Below are 20,066 nucleotides of genomic sequence, written 5' to 3' on the forward strand. Positions count from 1 at the left end.
CTTTGACAAAAATGAGTTCACTGTAGGTGTGTGGATTTATTTCTGGGTTCTCTATTCTGTTCCATTGGTCTATATGTCTTTTGTTACGCCAATACCATGCTATTTTGGTTACCATATCTCTGTAGTATATTTTGAAGTCAGATAATGTGATTCCTCCTGTTTTGTTGTTTCTGTGTAGGATAGCTTTGGCTATTCTGGGTCTTTCGTGGTTCTATGTAAATTTTAGGATTTTTTTCTATTTCTGTGAATAATGTCATTGGTACTTTGATAGGGATGGCATTAAATCTGTAAACTGCTTTGGGTAGTATGGACATTTTAACAATATTGATTCTTCCAATTCAGGAACATGAAATATTTTTCAATTTTTTGTTGTCCTCTTCAATTTTTTCTTTAGTGTTTTATAGTTTTCATTACAGAGATCTTTCATTTCTTTGGTTAACTCCTAGGTATTTAATTTTATGTGTGGCTGTTGTAATTGGGATTACTTTTTTATTTCTTTGTTTAGGTGGAGTCATTAGGTTATTCCAAATATAACATCATATCATCTGCGAACAAGGATAATTTGACTTCTTGTTTTCCAATTTGGACTCCCTTTATATCTATCTTTCTCTTGTCAGATTGCCCTAGATAGGGCTTCCAGAACTATGTTGAATAACAGTGGTGACAGTGGACATCTTGTCATGTTCAGGATTTTAGAGGAAAGGCTTTCAGTTTTTCCCCATTCAGTATGATACTAGCTGTGGGTCTGTCACATATGGTGTTTATTATGTTGAAGGGTGTTCCTTCTATACCAAGTTTTTAGAGGACTTTTATCATGAAGAGATGTTTAATTTTATCAAATGCCTTTTCAGCATCAATTGAAATGATCATATGGTTTTTATCCTTCATTCTGTTGATATCACATTTATTAATTTGCATATGTTGAACCGTCCTTGCATCCCAGGGGTAAATCCCACTTTGTCATGATGAATAATCTTTCTAAAGTATTGTTGAGTTTGGTTTTCTAGTATTTTATTGAGGATTTCTGCATCAATATTCATCAGCAACATTGCCCTGTAGTTTTCTTTTCTTTTCTTTTTTATTTTTTTTAATGTGTCTTTGTCTGGTTTTGGTATTAAGGTAATACTGGCCTTGCAGAATGAGCTTGGAAGGATTCCCTCACTCCTGCATTTTTCTGAATAACTTGAGTAGGATTAGTATTAGTTCTTCTTTAAATGTTTGGTAAAGTTCAACAGTGAATCCATCAGGTCTCCAGTTTTTCTTTACTGGAAGACTTTTTATTAAGGCTTCAATCTCATTACTTGTTATTGGTCTGTTCGGGTTTTGGATTTCTTCCTGCTTCAATCTTGGTAGGTTGTATGCATCTAGTACTTTGTCTATTTCTTCTAGATTTTCCAATTTGTTGGCATATAGTTTCTCATAGCAGCCACTAATGATCCTTTGAATTTCTGTGGTATCATTTGTAGTATCTCCTTTTTTATTTCTGATTATATTTATTTTGATCGTCTTTTTTTTTCTTAGTCTGGCTAAAGGTCTGTCGATTTTCTTTAAGTTTTCAAAAAACCGACTTTTTGTTTCATTGCTTTTTCATTTCAAATTCATTTATTTCCACACTAATCTTTACTATTTCTTCTACTAATTTTGGGTTTAGTTTGCTCTTGCTTTTCTAATTCTTTAAGATGCATCATTAGACTGTTCATTTGAAGTTTTTCCTCTTTTTTGGTGTAGGCAGTTATAGCTGTAAACTTCCCTGTTAATACTGCTTTTGCTGTATCCCATAGGTTTTGGTATGTTGTGTTTCTATTATCATTTGTTTCAAAAAAGTTTCCAATTTCCTTCTTAATTTCTTCATTGATCCACTGGTCATTCGGGAGCATATTGTTATATTTCCATGTATTTGTATAGTTTTCAAAATCCTCTTGTTACTAATTTCTAGTTTTATTCCATTGTGGTTAGAGAAGACACTTGATATTATTTCAATTTTTTAATGTTTTAAGATTAGTTTTATGACCTTACCTATGGTCTGTCTTGAGAATGATCCATGTGCTGGAGAAAACAATGCATATTCTGCAGCTCTTGGATAAAATGTTGTGTAAATATCTATTAGGTCCATTTGGTCTCTAGTGCAGATTAAACTGATATTTGTTGACTTTCTGTCTGGAAGATCTGTCCAATGCTGGAAGTGGGGTGTTGAAATCTCCATCTGTTATTGTATTGGAGCTTATCTCTCTCTTTAGCTCTAATAACATTTCCTTTATATATCTAGGTGTTCCAGTGTTGGGTGCATATATATTTAAAATTCTTATATCCTCTTGATGAATTGACCACTTTATCATTACATAGTGACCTTCTTCATCTCTTCTTATAGTTTTTGTCTTGAAATCTATCTTGTCTGATATAAGTATAGCGACTCCTCCTCTTTTTTGGTTTCCATTGGCATGGAGTATTTTTCCATCCCTTTATTTTCAGTCTATACATGTCTTTACAGGCGAAGTGTGTGTGTGTGTGTGTGTTTAGTAGGCAACAGATCAATGGGTCTTGTTTTCTCATCCATTCAGCCAGTCTCTGTGTCTTTTAATTGGAGAGTTTAGTCCATTCACATTCGATGTTATTATTAAGTAAGGACTTACTCCTGCCATGGAAACTCCTTCTGCACACATGCTTCTATAACCAGAATAGGGAGCAGTAGCGGTCTCCAGCCAGAAATAATTACTCTGACCTTAAAGGAAACACAGCATTTCTGGCTGCAACCTATTGGCTAAAACAAGCCACCTCAAATGTAAATGTCAAAGGGGTGGAATAGTGCAATCTATAAGATGCCTGGAAGAAGAAGAAGTGAAATATTCTGAATAGTGTTACTGTTTCTTTGTCTTATTCTTCACTTTAATGAGAAAGCCTCTAGGTTTTAGTACCAGGCATAATATTTGTTTTTGTAGTTGCTGATTTGTGTAAAAAGTCTTTTTTATCATAGTAAGCGAGTTATCTTTTCTTGCCATGTGTTTTTATCAGGAAGGAATGGCAAATTTTATATTTTAATATTTATAGAAATAAATATATTTTATTATATTTTTCCCTTTGAATCTGTTATATAGTTAATTATATTAATGGACTTCCTATTTCAAACTATTCTTGCATCACAGAGGGAAAACCCTACTAAATCACAGTTTATTATCACATTCTGTTATTTGTTAATGCTCTGGATTTGATATATTTAAAGTTTTGGGGGGACTTTTTCATCATCATATCTGAGATTGGGCTACATGCTTTGATATTTTTGTGCCATCTTTGTTGATGATCTATTATAGGAGTCAGATAAATCTACTGGATCTGGTACCTCTAAAAAGTAAATTTTAAATATTTTAAAATTCTTTTATGGTTATTGATTTATTCAGATTGTTGTCCTTTTCTTAATTTTGGTTAGCATAAACAATCTATTCCATCTAGATTTTTCTTGAATGCCAAAGTTGTACATGGTCATTTTACTTATATTTTTAATCTTTATCTATGTTTATGTATATTTTTTCACTCACAATATTTGCTTTTCTGTTCTAGATGAATGTGTATTAATTCTTCAAGACTGCTTTTGAGTAAATTTGCCAAAAATCAAACTGCAGAAAGCCAATTTTCCACAAGGACAGTTTGCCAAATTTTCTTCTTCCTTAGAACTCTTTATAAAGTTTACAGCAATTCACATTGAATGAGATCTTTTTAATAGCTTTTAAATATTTATGTAAACTTCTAGTTGATCAGTTTTTATTTTTTTTTCATAGCAGCATTTTAAGGAATGTTTAATTTATCTTTACCCAGCTTCCTGCTGCTGCAGCTGGAAAGAGCTGGGGACAGAGATAGGAGACCTCTGCTAGGGGCAAGATGGGAAGGAGGCTCAGCTCATTTGCTGATTCCAATAAGAGGGAGGATGTGGGTCATAAAGAGAAAGATACATTCAGAGAATACCCACTCATACAGAATATATCCCCAAATATAACCACTTTGCATAAATACATTCTTCTTAGAAATAAGAAGTAGCCCCAGCTTCCTCCTTGCTCTGTTTCCCAGGCATTCTGCTCCTAGTCTCTCGCTAGTCTCTTTTCTCCCTGCAAGGGCTGTGCTGTGTGCTGGTTCTGCTCCCCATCTCTCCCCCATGCACTCACTCCCCCCCTGCTCCTTCCAGCATAAGCAGCTAGGAGCTGGGGCAGAGACAAACTCCACATTCCATGAAACACTATTATGGAGACCCAGTGAGAATCAGGCCATCTAAACTAAATAGAGAAAAAAACAAGTACATTAAGACAAGCGGTGCATCAGTGATTTGGACTCTTTTTCTCTAGGACTTGAATCACATGACTGTCTCCTTGGCTGATTTGGTAGCTCCATTCTCTGGGGTCCCAGAGTGCCCTGCTGAGACCTCCAATACCTCACTCAGAAGTAATTTAAAGATATAAGCATTCTATCTCAGTTATTTGATTTCATTACCCGCTCAATTTCTAGACTGTTCATTCAATAACTACTTACTGAACAAAAATTTCATTAAACAAATGTCCATTTAATGAAGAAATGTGAGCTGACTGCAAGCTGGCAGTGTGAACTGACTATGTGCTGCAAAGTGGGATAGATGCTGGAGATTAAAGTTAAATAAAACTTGGCCCCAGTCCAGAGCTCACAGACTAGAGATAGCAGGGACCAAGTCTTAGATATCTTCATATCCATTCTGCCCCTCACATCATCGCTGTCATAGAGTCTATGCTCAATAGAAGTTCTAGGTGTGTTGAAGGCATGTTTCCCCTAAAAGAACTAGAACTACAAGTCCCAAGTACAGTAATTGGTGGCTGTAATTAACATTTTAAACAGCAGAAAATAGTCAAGTCCAAGAGAGTTTATGAGCTCTAAAGATACATTTTCTAATTTACCAAAATATTTTACAAAAATAGGACAAATTTAAAAATGTTTAGTGAGATACATGGTACTCAGAATCTTACAATAATGAACAAAGCTCAGATTGTCCTTATATTTAAAGTTTGGATCCCAAAACAAGCTACCTGCCTGTCCATTTAAACTTCAGCAATAATAATTCAATAGCTATGCTCAAGGTCAGGACATATTAAATGACCTGTTGGGTGTAAATTCATCAAAAAATGTTTATTAATTCAGCCTTAATCTAGCTCAAAGTGTAACCTATCAGTCCCAGGGTGATCCAAATTAAATAGTGTTGATTCACTCCAGATTCCAGGTCTTATAGCTTCCACATGGCTGATCAAAAACACCCAGAAACACATGATGATTTAGGGAGTTCAATAACATATACAGCAGAACCATAATTAAATTTCATTCAAATCCTACCCTCAGGATTTTTGAAGACTTGTAAATCAGTCTGGATATTTAAAAACAGAAACTGTGTTCTCAGATGTTCCCCCAAACAACTCTTTTTAAAATAAACTTCTTTCAAAACATGGTATTGGGTTGAGCACAGTGTCTCACACCTGTAATCCCAACACTTTGAGAGGCTGAAGCAGGAGGATCACTTGAGGCCAGGAGGTCAAGACTAGCCTGGGCAATATAGGGAGACCCCATCTCCACAAAAATAATTTTAAAAATTAGCTTGGCATGGTGGCACGTGCTAGTAGTTTTAGCTACTCCAGAGGCTGAAGTACACTTGAGCCCAGGAATTCGAGGTTACAGTGAACTATGATCACGCCACAGCATTTGAGCCTGGGTGACAGAGCAAGACCATGTTTCTTAACATAAAACAACAACAACAAAAAACACCTGGTACTGATTATATCACTATAGGTGTATGATAACAATTCAAAAAAAAATAAGTAGTCTTCCTTCTGTCTGTCATTCTGTAACAAATAGATAAAAAATAAGAAAATAGGTAGTAATTAGGATCGTGTTTTAGTGAATCCTCAGGTCGTGTATTTGTTAGGCTGAATAATGGCTCCTCCCAAAAGATATCCATGCCTTAATCCCTGGAACCTATGAATGTTACCTTATATCACAAAAAGTGCTTTTAAGATATAGTTGAATTACGAATTTTGAGATGAGGAAATTACCCTGGGTTATCCAGGGGGATAACCTTTATTGTAATTATATAGTTGTATTATAGTTATACTTTCTACATATAACTATTTTCTTTAGAGGCAAAATAGATTAGGGTAAATCCTGCAGTCAAGTTGATGTGGAAGACAAGATTACCTGGATAATAAAAGTCAACATTATCTGCTCCACATTGCCTGAATGAAACCAGAATTCTCTGACTCCCTACTTTTGCTCAAGGGCCAGACTGTACCTCCAGGCCATCACAACCGGTAACCATGCACAATTGGCTCATTGATTCCCGTAAAGCAACTCATATGCTCTGAGTTATGACTAGATCTATTTCAGGACTTGTCAGACTGTCAGGCCAGATTACCACAATACAACCCCTGAGCAGAGCCTCTAAAGATGGAGATTCCAAAGACCTCTTTTATCCTACTGAATGTACAAAATTTTTGGAGCAAGCCCTCTACCCTCCACCACTTCTTGGATAGTCGGGGAAGTTCTGAAAGGTGCAGCTTGCTTCCTGTGTTGCTTTGGATGATCAGACTGTCCATCAAATTCCCAGCTGTCCTCACCATCATCCACTCCAAAACTACATAGACTATTAATTAAATCTCAGGTAAAATCTTTAACTTTATATCTTTGTAATTAAGAGACATTTTTATACACACACGCATATTCCAAAACACTTTTTAATTAAAACATTCTGGGGGAAATATCCTTACTTTCCATTTTGGAGATGATGAGAAGTATTAAGAAAAGTTTGATTTTGCTCAGGGCACTCCTGTTTTAAATCAAACTAATTTTTCCATTGAATATTCTAAGAGTGATTTGCCCACCCTTAATATACCTCAGCCAGAAACTTGTTCCCTTTGAAATTAATCCCAGCTTGTGAACATTGAAAGGTGAAGACTGGAAGGAATGTAATTTCATATTAGTGGTTTCTGTGACTAGATAAACATTAATAATGTTTTCATACTGACCTAGAAAGTGACTTAATTTATTAAGTGCAGTGGACATATGGTACCCTGTTTGCATTAGCTATGCCCAGTACATGAAAAGAAATCACTAAGTAGAATTCAGTTACCTGCTTTTTTTCCCTAACTCACTGTATTTTATATATGAATTTGCCACTGGTAATGAAGAGCTCCAGCTAATATGAACAATGGCAAGAGAAGTTATACCATTAAATATATAGGTTCATAAATATAGCATATGAAAATGGATGATTTGCAATTCAATTCTACAACTATTGTGATCATACTATGTGACAGGACTTATAGCCTGAACTGGGGATGGAGGAGTGAATGAGCTAGATGCAGCCCCTGCCCCATAGACCTTAGGGTACCACTCTTTGCCAGAGCCATGGTGGGGGTAATAGCGCATCTAAAATGGATTGCCTTACTCAATATACATTCCAGCCTCCTTCCAGTACTCCTGAGTTTGGAAAGCTAGAAACTATATTTCCCAGACTCCCTTATAATCAGAGTTTAGGGTGTGATTTGGATTCCACCAATCAGATGCACTCAAAAGACTTGGATTGTAACTAAATTAAGTGGAGACAATGGCTTGCCACATAATTTGGAAGACCCAGTACAAAATTAAAGTGTGAAGACCTCTGTACGAAAGGCAGGAAAAAAACTTTTTCTTCCTTTCTTCTTCCCCTGGTCTTTCTCACCATCTATCAGGGTGTTTGTAGTCCCAGGAATGTGAGGATACTCAGGTATGCAGGTATGCGGGCAGATCCTCACCATTGCTTATAATCTGGCATATGTGCAGCCCACTGGCTATGAGGTTTCCCTCCTACCCGCTGCAAGACCAAAGGCTCCGGAAGTTCAATCAGGCATCTTTTTCTTTCCACTGGCCATAGCAACTCAAGGTTGTTGGGTGACCCCTGAGAGTATTATCACCTTCATGTATGGATAAATGAGACACCTGGATGGAGACAAGAGGTGTGCCCTTGCCAAGTCACCCACTGAATATTCCATGATGCTACCAGCCTGGGGCAAGGACTGCCACTGCCTTGCCCTCTCCTACCCTGTCCTGCATAGAGATGCTCTGGGAGCATGCACCTGACTCTAACCCCGATCTTCTTCCTGTCCATGCCTAGGGCTCAACCAGGGGTGGAGGGAGGCAGTGATTGGTGGATCATGCCCAGGAAGGGGAAGTGTGGGTTAGGGGAGCTGTTGGCTGAGAAGCTGTCACAGGAAGGTGGCAAGAAGAAGACCTAAGGTCTCCCAGTACATACTCTATTGTCCCAAAGGACATCACTTTTAAAACACAAATTAAAAGATAAATTTTTAAGAATTTCATGATGGTGGCCGGGCGCGGTGGCTCACGCCTGTAATCCCAGCACTTTGGGAGGCCGAGGCGGGCAGATCACGAGGTCAGGAGATTGAGACCGTCCTGGCTAATATGGTGAAACCCCGTCTCTACTGAAAATACAAAAAATTAGCCGGGCAAGGTGGCAGGTGCCTGTAGTCCCAGCTACTCAGGAGGCTGAGGCAGGAGAATGGCGTGAACCCAGGAGGTGGAGCTTGCAGCGAGCCAAGATCATGCCACTGCACTCTAGCCTGGGAGATAGAGCGAGACTCCGTCTCAAAAAAAAAAAAAAAAAAAAAAAAAAAAAAAAAAGAATTTCATGATAGTAACCACAGAGCACTAAACTCCATGCATGGGGGCCCTGAGAGAATGCACAGATCACCTGCTCATGAAGCTGGTGCTTAGTGGAAAGAAAGCATTCCATTTTATGCCTGCTGATTGTGGCATCAAGGGCCTCCTGTTATCAGTTTCCTGCCAAAATATCGGGAGGAGAATGTGAGATTTTTGGCCATGCAAAAGCTGGGTGATTTTGGAAATGGGGAGTTTTTCTTAGACGCGCAGCCTAGAGCCTGCTCTTTTAGCCACTTTAATGATTTTTTAAACCACCTAATAGCTGGTAATAATTTCCTTAATACTTAGCACAACCAGAAGGTCTTAATTGCAAATAACAGAAACCACAGCTGATAATTCTCTCTGGAGAGGCATGAAATAGATGTCAGAAGTAAATTGACTGTGGTGGTGGCCACCATTCCAAACACAAAAGAAAGCATTTGATATTGCCAAAGGTCATTCAGTGTTAGAAGAAAAATCATTTGTATTAAAGGAGAGGCATCATGGAAATGGAATAGCAGTGTCATTCCTAGCTGCCCTTTATATTCCAAGAGTTGGAGAGAATTCTTGAAGCAGACCAGTGATTAGGTTTGCAAGTGGGCACAGAAACAAATTGTGTCCTTGCTCAGAAAAAAGTAGGAATCATCCTTGTGATACAGTAGGAAAAACATGAGCTTTAGATTTATGTAAATCGAGGTTTGAATCCAGGCCATCTACTTTCTGTGTTACCTTTGGTAAGTAACTTCTCTAAGTCTCAATTTCCTCAAACTGTTCTTCTAGGGTAGTTAGAGATAATATATAAAAAGAACCTAGAATAATGTCAGGTTCACAGTAGATATCAATAACTACTGTTATCATAATAAAATCTGAAATTGGTACATAGGAAGATGTGGATGGCTTTCCCAGGGCACTATTGCATCTGGGTATATTGTCCAAGCAGAACTTTAGTAAAGCAATATCATCCAAAATCTCTATGGGATTTCTTGGCATCCATCTCCCAGTCTTCTACCTATCCATCTACCCCCAGTCAACTCACCCATACCGCCATCCCAAATAACCATCTACCCTCTCTCCCTTCTAAAATTGGCACGTAGAATTCAATATTAAGAATTCTCAAGATTAAGTAGTAGCTTTATCTATCAAATCAATCCACAAAAAAGCTTGAGTTTTCTTTCCCTGGTTGGTGTGATATATTCAAGGCTCACTTCATATTTCTACTCCTCTCTCTATCCCAGGGCCCCAAGACAGCAGATTTCACTCCCTTCATTACCAGCACAGCACCTTGCACACATCTCTACACAGCTCTTCCTATAGTGAATTTCAAGTATTTGTTTATATTTTGTCTATCCACATCTATATTTTGATATCCTTGTTGGCACAGACCATATCTTGTTTATGTTTCTTATCTAATGCCAGCTCAGTCTGATGCATAGGGGGGCCTAATCCATACTGAGTTAATCTAGAGCCTTAAAAGTAAGCCCAAGCCCTTTACTCCCAACTTCACCCTGTTGGCTCAGTCCAATGTTCTCCTCTTCAATTATGATCAGCAGCCCCAGGCATCCTTCCTTCTCTCACCAGCTCCACTGGATACCCAGTACCTCACCCGGTCTCAACCACCACTCATGCCTCTGTTCTGTCCTTTAACCTCAAAGAGACATATCCTGGCATTTAAAAATATGGGCAGAGGAAGGTGAGGAAAGGAAAAAAAAGAGCGTTTCAAGAAGAATGGCATGGTCAACAATGACAAATGTAGTACAAGATAAAGAGAATAGTTGAAATGTCTAATTTATTGAGACCTACTGTGCTCCAAGCTCAAAGGAGATGTAAAGGGGAGAGAAATCAACAAGGTAGAGGAGGCTCTTTCCCTCTACCTTGCATCCTACTATGGGGCCTTGCATTCTACCGTGCTATACGTGCTGCAGACAATCAGTGAGTAAATAACCAATGTAATTACAGCTCACAAAGATTGCCACAAAGGAAAGGAGGCAGGGAGATAAGATGATGGTGATGATGCCAGTAATAGTAAGAAGTTACCCACAGTTAGTCTGAAATAGCTACTATATGTCAAGCCTTGTTCTAAATGCTACCAGTATGTAATCTTGTTTAATCCTTACAAGCACCCTAGAAAACAGGGATAATTATTTTCTCCTTTGTAGATGAGAAACTGAAGCACAGAGAAGTTAAGTAACATCTTTCAATGGCTAGCTTTGTTTAATGAGCAACTCAGCTATATTTGTTAAGAATGAGAAAATCAAATCTGATGTGTCATGAATAAAAGTTTATAAATGAACTTGTAATAATTTCAAAAATCCTTTTTAACAATTTTGAACCTTCAAGTCATATTAAATTAAGTAATAGATACTTATTAAATGTCTGGGCCATTTCTAAGTCAGTTAAAACACTGAAACACTAATTATTAAGCATAAATTTAAGTTTATACATTTAATTTATTTTTATATGGTATGGAGAAGCTAAGTATATTTGGGTTTGTAAATAAACAAAAAATTTTGTTACGAGGAAACATGGTTCTAAAAATTATGAAATGGTTACCATTGACAAAATGTTGATATAAAACAGTTCAAAGTTGCTTATGTCCTAGGTTTTCATGATAAATTAAGGTTACTACAGTTTTAAAAATCTAATTAACATATGGTAATTAAAACAACTCCTTATGCAAGGAAAGTAAGACATGTTTTTGGTAAGTGAAGCTTACATGAAAGATGTGTTTTAGTTAAGGGAAACAAAAGGAATTTTTGTCTTGAAATAGGATGATTAGTTGTCCCAAAATGAAAAAGAGAAAAGGTTGTAGAAAGTTTATGAAAGATGAATCTTGTGAAAAGAATTTTATGTGCAATTAAGCTGGCTAAAATTGGAAGGGAATTATAAGTTTTTTCTAAAAACAGCATTACTATCAAAATTACACTAGTACGAAATGAGAATTTGGTTTTCTCCTTTAAACAAGATTTTTCTGGGGCATAGGTTCTCAGGACCTCCTGAGACTATATCATGGGGAAAATTTTTTAAAGATTTTTCTGTAATATAATAAGAGATAGTAAAAGATTTTTTGTTCACCTTTTGAGTAAACTGCAAAAGGTGAGAGTGGGAGGGGAGAGAAAGAGAAACAGATTTACATGCTTCATGATGTCTTTTGTAGGTCTTTTAATTATTTGGAAAATTAGGTCTTCCCTCTATCAAAGAGTAAAGGTTTTTGCTTTTTAAAACTTTCAATTATCAATTTGGCTAAATGAATGATTATTATTTCAGAGTGATCTGTGATCCTATTTTGATCAAGTATTTTAAACCTTTGACATATTTGACAGGCTTCCCAACATCAAATTTCAAAAGAAAAATTAAGTCTTTTTGACTTCAAACTAACCTTCGGATGCTACAGAGAGCCCTTGAAGCATTCAAAAGAGATATAATAAATAGGCTTATTTGATATGTTTAATTATATGGGAAGCATTGTCAAATAAGAAATGATGTTTAGCCTTTTTCTCAGTTATATTGTTTTCCAAAAATAGTATGAGATTTCTAAAATTCTGACATGTCATGGTATATGTTATCAGTCATGATACTATGGTTATTATGTTAAATTATTGTAGGCCACATAAAAAATTAAACTTTCTTGTCAATTATGTCTTTAATTATAACCATTTTAGGTCTTGTTGTCTCTAGTTAATTGATTAATTCTGCTGCCTTTTCTGAAAGCTCTTTACAAGCAATTATAATCCTGAAGTGTTATGTCTTCAAGGAGGTTCATGGAAAGGATGGAAAGGACCCTGACAAGCACTTTTGAATACAGGTTTCTGATTACTTTAGGATCATATCAGAACTCTAATGAAGAAACTGGTTTATGAAATTGCTTACCCAAGCAGACTAGAATTAATTAAATACCAAGGAAATATGTTTGCAGATTTTCATACTAAGTTTATAAGTACTGAAATTGTTAAGATATGCAATTCCAATAAACTCCATGGTCCAGGTCAAATTACCTATGATAACATATTTAACAAAGAGTGCTACACACCTAAGTTAGAGAAACAAAACTGGAATTTAAGAGGCTATAAACCCAATGTTAAGCATGGACTCATGGAGCCTGGACTGCTTCCTGAGTCCCTGAAGCTTCACTGTAAGCTTTCCACTCCATGACTCAACATGGAAGAGATACAATGATCCAAATTATGGGAAAAAATATTGGTGTGGTGACTATTCTAAATTTCTGTAATGGTTGATGATTAATTTTTGATTTGTCAAAGCCATAATCCTGATAAGACAACCAAAACTTCAGGTACATTTCTTCAATCTGTTGGGTCATTTATAAAGGGATTTCATTAAATTGCCATTTTCACTGCATGTTTTCTGGTTGTACAGAAGCTTTCCCATATAGGAAGGCTACAAGAGTAGCTAAAAAGTTATTAGAAAATGTGTTTCCCTCATGGCGTATTCCTGGAGAAAACTCCAGCAATAGATCTACTTGTTTCACTGGACAAGTTGTAAAACAGTTAAATAAGGTATTATGGATACAGTCACATTAAGTAAAGCAAACTGAATCAACTAGATTGCCTCAGTCAAAGATATTATAGATTGATTACAACCAAATCCACTTCCAGTGGGAAACATAAGTTGATCTCTTATGGAATAGTTACTGGAAGGCCTATTTCCCTAATAATAGAAACTCATGTATGTTCTGCTCCTAACCTCTGGTATGACTAAATGCTGCAAGGCTTTAATGCCTTATGCCAAAGTGTATTTTTACCAAGTAAAAGAAACTGTTCATGATCCACCAACTTAAGACAATCAAACCCTTCATAATCTACAACCTGGAGACCGGGTTTTCTGGGAATGATATTAGAGGAAGACTGCCCTTGCCACCAACACTGCAGCAAAACGCTGGGACACTGAACGTTGGGCCTGTAATCACACAACTCAGAGTGGCCCCTTCAGACTCTTGGAACTGTACACCTGTTGGAGACCTTAAGGTACAGCTAATCAGAGAAGTCTCTCCCCAGAAGCAGACAGCATCCTAGACATGGACAACTTTCCCAAGATCATGGATCAAGAATTCTCTGCCATCAGAAAACTTTTACCTCTCTTAATTTTTTACCTTTTCCTTGCTTATGCCTCTATGAACAATATAATTGGGAAAGGGGCCTTGGGTGCACCGATGGGGTATGCTTTTATTTGTGGAGGATTTTGCAGCCAACTTTATACCTGAGCAACTTATGCCCTGATGGATAGAAGATGAAGGGCCAATATGGGCTAGAAATTTTAATAGTACCTTTGTTGCTCCATCATCAGTCAGAAACAGAACATTTTTTCACTCCTCTTAACCTACATCTTAGGTTAAAAGAACATTTTCAGGAAGTCTTCACTCTTCTGGATGGGCATCATTTCTTAGGTCTCTTTTCTCATGGCCTGAAATAAATATAAATGAGGCAGTGCTTACAAATGTATCACTCATTATAGGCTCTACAGCAGGTTCAACTGCAAAGGCTATGGTTGCACAACAGACTTCTTTAAATTCTCTTTCTAAAGTTTTATTAGATAATAAAATTGCTCTAGATTAACTATGAAAAGAGAGGAATCTGTGCAGTTTTTGACACTTATTACACATAGATGAATACATCAGGTATTATAGAGACTCAGTCACAGGGGATTAACCAACAAGCTGCTTAGTTAAAATAGGTAGATTCCTCATCTGGTTCATTCTTTGATCTATTTGATTTTGATTGGTTTTGTTCATGGGAAACCTGGCTAAGAAGCATACTCCAAACTCTTGGTATTATCCTTTTGATAGCCATAATAGTAGTCTCCCTGATGTGCCGTATTCTCTCAAAAGTTTTAAATGTGTACATGCAGCCATCTGTAGAATGCCAAATGGTCCCTCTTCAGCTAGAACAACAAAAACCCAAAGACATGTGATCATGAGGACACTACTGTAACCTATGATTGACTTGTTGAGACTAGAACCCCAAAATGATGGTAACTAAGAATAGCAACAAAGCTCTAAGTTTTGGTCATGCTCTCATCTAACATTTGTTAAACAAAATTATGAGAGGCCACTGTTTTGAACTGAACTCATGCACTAGGCCCTAACACACTACACTAACCCAGCTTGGAGTCACTTATGCTATGTTCCACATAATCAAACCAAAGCCTTAAAGAAGCAAACAGATCTCAAAACAGATGGGAGCTGAGACCAAATAAGAATTATGAATTCTATACTGAGACCAAATAAGTCTGTTCATTTACAATAATGACAGAAAGTGACATTATGCTTAAAGTTTGTGGTATAATTAAGAGGTTGGAGGGGTCATTGTTAAATTCAGTTTGGCCTAAAGCTGCCTCCCTATGTATTTTAACTTTTGCCTAAAGGTTTCTCCATGCATAGTGAGCTATAACCTAACTTGATATGTAAACAGACTGTAACCTACTCTTGTAACAAGTAGCCAATCACAGGTAGCAAACTGTTCGAACCAGGTTCAAATAAGGCAAACACCCAGCTGTAACCAATCCAACTGTTTCAGTACCTCGCTTCCATTTTTTGAATGTCACATTCCTTTTTCTGTCCATAAAATGATCTGACCACGCTGCAGCACCAGAATTGCTCCAAACCTATTTTGGTTCTGAGGGCTGTCTGATGTGCAAATCATTCTTTGCTCAGTTAAACTCCATTAAATTTAATTTGTCTAAAGTTTTTCTAATAACAACTGAATGAGATCATGAATTCTGACAGATATGAAATTCCACTGGTGTAAAACATTAGTAAACATGTTTAATGAAACTCATGAAGAAAAAACATGTTCATTCCAAAACACTGGCCCACACCCTAAATATTGAAAATTCGATCTCCTTTGAGAAACTCTAAATGGTTGTGTTTCTCTTCATTAATAATAAAGATAAGAAGGACAATCTACATTGCATTGGATGGGTTACTTGCATCACTCAAAATGAGCTTAACAATTTACTCAGTTTTGAAAAGTAAATTCAGTCTTCCTATAAAAGGCTAAAATTTGTTGACCTATGGGTAATCATAAAAGAAAATTTTCTTAACACAAACGTAAGCTCTACTGGGCAGAAAAGACCATGTACTCTGAATTAAAGAAAGACTGTATTATGGTTAGAAAAAATTTAGAACAAAGTACGTTATACTAAAATACCTAAAGTTTATATATGGCAGGCCAGGCATGGCGGCTCATGCCTGTAAATCCCAGAACTTCGGGAAGCTAAGGTAGGAGGACTGGTTGAGGCCAGGAGTTCAAGACCAGCCTGGAAAACACAGAGAGACGTCTCTACAAAAATTAAAAAAAAAAATTACCTGGGCGTGGTAGCATTTGCTCACAGACCTAGCTACTTGAGAGGCTGAGAGGGGAGAACAGCTTGAGCCCAGAAGTCCAAGGCTGCAGTGAGCTATGATCATGCTACTGCACTCCAGCCTAGGTGACAGTGAGAGACGCTGTCTCTAAAAAATTAAAATAAAAATTATATAAGAGAACAATTACAGTATTCTTCTGATTATCTAAGAACTTGCTATTTTAATCTAGATGTTTTAGATTTAATCTATTTTACTGATCAAACTACTCTTGAATGATCACAAATCACTATGTTTTTACCACATTGCCAATCTGAAATATGAACAAACAAGACTGGCTGAGAATTGGGTAGAACAATTATGAAGAAACCATATGAAAAGGTGAAAAAAGAAAGCAGCAAGAAGGTCCAATAAAACAGGACACATTTTTCTTACAATGTTATTATATATTTAATCCATGTTTCTCATGATGAGATGCTTAAAGGCCTAAAAGTTACTTGGGAGTTTTGCATTACAAAATATCACAATTGATCCTGTTGCTAGATTTCTGCATTACAATTAAATCTAAGAGAAGAAAGTTGGTTTCTATTAAGTGTTAGGTTTTGTAATGTATTGTTGTAAAAGGGGAAAAAATAGGAGTTAATTTAGAAAAATTCTGGGTATATATTACCAGAGTTTGTCACTCAATTTGAAATCAGAATGGAAACTAACTAAGGTAGAAGACAACACATGACTGACTTAAAAAAGACATGACTTGTGTAGATTTCTTATTGGGCTTAATTAAATTGACTGAAGTTGGCTTTCAAAGCTTTTGTTTAACAGTGGTTTTTCAAATAAAATAACAACAAAAAATACATTCTTATTTCCATGTTTTGACAAATGTATCAGTTAGGGTTTCCTTCAGCTGCAAGCAACAGAAAAACCAACCAAGAGTAGACTGTATGATTAAGGGACTAACTTTTTTATGTTAAAAAATTTCTGATATGAGGTTGTTGAGGACTGGTACATGACTCCACGATATCATCAAGAACCCAGCGTCCTTTCAGTTTTCTGTTCCACCATTCTTGGCTTGTGGCTTTTTCTACACGGTCACAAAATAGCTGCTCTACCACCTCAAGGCTCATCTATATATAAGGCTGGGGCTTCTTAGTTTATCTCTTTAAAAATGACGTTTCAAAGTTTCATAACAACTGTTTTCATCTTACTGGTCGAGAATTGGGTCACAAGGTTACTTCTAATGGAAAGATGGTTGGAAACCTAAATGTTTTAGTTTTCAAGTTATGATGAAGGAAAAGACAAGAATGAAAGATTGTGAATGGCTTTTGAGTAGCTAGGCTACTGTGTCTGCTTCTGTGGGCAAGGGGATAAGGATGTTTATATAAAATATTAATATGTGATTGAAATCATTTCCAAATTACAAGAAGAGAATTTGTTTAGCAAATACTGACAATATGTGTTATTGTCTGGCCTTATTAAGGCATATCTAAATCTTTTAGTGAGTCCATGTAAAAGTCATTTTCTTACCACTCAGATGGTTTCTCTAAATTGCTGTGCTCCTGCTATGATTTGACCTTTGGCTGAGATGCTTTTTCAAATGCTTTTAGCTAAGCCCTGCATACATCTAGACACTCAAGCTTCAGGATAGTACAGATTTCAGCCCCATTACTCCTTTTCCAAGCTACAGCAGAAAAACCAAAACAAATATTGCAGATTTGTCCAGTTCTCTTAAGTATCAGCTAGGGAAGCAGGAAAAGTCCTCTCTATTATGTGGTGATTCTCCATATTAGAATCACCTAGGAATCTTTTAAGATATGCTGATACCCTAATATTTTTAAGGAGCTCTCTCTAGATGATTCTAGCGTGCAGCTAATGTGGAAAACTAGGCATTTGGAGAAAGAAGAGAAAAAGTTAGAAATAGCATGTAAAGCCTTGAGCATGTTATTGAACCTCTTTAAACTCACTTCTCTCATTGTTACTTACATGAATTAATCCAAATAAGTTTAGTTTGGTGTTTGGCTTACAGTAAACACTTAATAAATATTAGTCATTATTAATATTGTTTTATCAAAGTTCATATTTTTTCATCATTTTATTTGTGAGTAAATGGGGTTTCTCCAGGAAGCAAAAATATGTAAGACCACAGATCTTGAAAGCAGAGCTTGAAGAGAGCAAAATTTGGCATTCAAATCCCAGCTTGACCACTTAGTAGTTAATCTGACATTGAGCAGGCAAGCATTTGATCTGAGTCTCGGTTTTCTCATCTATTAAATGGGAGTGATACTTACCTCTCAGGTTGTGAAGACTAAAAGATACTATGTATGCTAAAGGATAATTTTCAAAAAAGTAAAATTATGACCCTTCTACAGTTATAAAAGAAACATATGTCAAAGATTTTATTTCAACTCTTTAATTACTGAGGGAACCACTAATATAGTAAGATCTGTTCAAATGAGAATTTGACTTATAGAGCTTTATAATCAACCAGTCAAAATTTGTTTGCTTTGGTATGAATAAGAATTTGCTGCATTGTCAGCAGTTTTCAACAATTTAACAGCTACCTCTGCAGAGCTGCAAAATAACCTAGTCAATAGAAAGTCAAGGTGTGAATTCTTGGAATCAGATAATCCAGGACTCCACTATAATGCCCAGCACTCCACTGAAAGACACCAGTGATCCTCTTTGCCCATTTCTGAGTCCTGACAAGTATATAAAGCACAAGGCAGAGTGTACTTGCCATGGAGTCAGTGATGATTACATGGTGGCTGCATTCATTATCCTTGAATAACATGATTATTTACCTAGAAAATCCAAACAAATCAACAAAATAAATGTATTATGACAGATAGGACAATTACAATCATTAAAATTTATCATTACTGTGACTCTTGAGTTCATGCTTCACATTCTTCCCTTCACTGTAAACATACCAATAATAACATTTTTAAAAATATATAAAGAAAAGTCATAGGCATATTCAAAAGCAGGATAATAGATCACATGCAGCACGATGCCAGAACTGAAGCCTCAGGCAGTGTAGGCAGCCAAGAGTTGGACTCACGTGGGGTGACAGAGCAAAGCGTTCTTCATAAAGCTGGAAGCAAGGACAGTGTTCCCTTTGCCAGCTCAGTGACTGGATCTCTAATATCCCCAAAGACTCCAAGCCACAGGAGTCCAAGCCACCAACTAAGACCATGCCCTGGTCTAGAGATGGTGGGGGGAGAGTTGGTGAAGGCAACCAAAAAACTGATATCCAAGGAGTCTTGAAGAGGAGGGAGATGAAAATTCCCACACAAGCTGAACCTGCAAACTAAAGCTTCGAAGAAAAGGAGAAAAATTAACCCTAAGAAAGAGCAAATAAACTTATCCAGGGCATTAATAGTTAACAGAATATGATGCAGAATTGTGGAAAAATAATGACATGGAAAACACGGTAAAAGAAGGGAAACGTTTCAAGGAAAGGTAAATGTCTTGAAGACTGATTTGCTCATTCGTGATTAGCTCTCAGCTCCAGTTCCACCCTATGCTTTCCCCCTATTGCAGGGAAGCAGAATCTGCTTACACCAGAGTCTTTTCCAAACCTTCCTTTCAGCTGTCTCTCAAAGAGAATTTGGCATTCTGGGAAGCAATGGGAGGCACTGGAAAAAACTGGAAATGAGGAGGATTTCTTCTCTTCTTGAAGTAGCTCTGATAAACATGGTGGCAGCAGTAACAGCAGCAGGCAAGCCTGAGCCCTGGACATCTGCTCAGGCAACATGGTTCAGACAGTAGATGCAGTAGCAGGTACCCCAACAACCTCAGTGGGACAGTTTCCCTAGGCTGCAACAGGGACAGCGGCTGATGACTTTTGGATCCTGGATACCTGTAGCATCAGCAAGAGCGCTAATTCCCTGCTTCCTGTAAAGCAGCTGCAGTGGGGTTCCAGCGGCATCAGGGGCACAATGACTGTGGGCTCTGGGTAGCAGCATCTTCCTTTCTGCTTCTCCTGCACTAGTATAGTGGTAACTTCTGGAAGTTACTATCTCTAGGTAACAGATCTTCCCTCTTTCGCTCCTCCAGCCCTTCCAAC

At 37.0% G+C, this 20,066-nt stretch overlaps 1 long non-coding RNA gene across 2 annotated transcripts in view; it reads right to left on the minus strand.

Annotated features, from left to right (window-relative positions):
- LINC02795 (long intergenic non-protein coding RNA 2795) overlaps nucleotides 1-20,004 on the minus strand; it is a 30,895-nt gene extending 10,891 nt beyond the window's left edge. Inside the window, exons 1-4 of one of the 2 annotated variants that reach the window (NR_187379.1) lie at nucleotides 19,059-20,004; nucleotides 18,735-18,798; nucleotides 16,007-16,150; nucleotides 13,967-14,103 (exon numbers count right to left, since the gene is read on the minus strand). This is a non-coding gene — a long non-coding RNA (long intergenic non-protein coding RNA 2795). The remainder of the gene's footprint in view (nucleotides 1-13,966; nucleotides 14,104-16,006; nucleotides 16,151-18,734; nucleotides 18,799-19,058) is intronic. The other variant, NR_187380.1, reaches the window with a different exon arrangement.
- Nucleotides 20,005-20,066: the final 62 nt, after the last annotated feature.

The sequence above is a fragment of the Homo sapiens genome, chromosome 1 (genome assembly GCF_000001405.40).
Source record: "Homo sapiens chromosome 1, GRCh38.p14 Primary Assembly".
Classification (NCBI taxonomy): domain Eukaryota; kingdom Metazoa; phylum Chordata; class Mammalia; order Primates; family Hominidae; genus Homo; species Homo sapiens.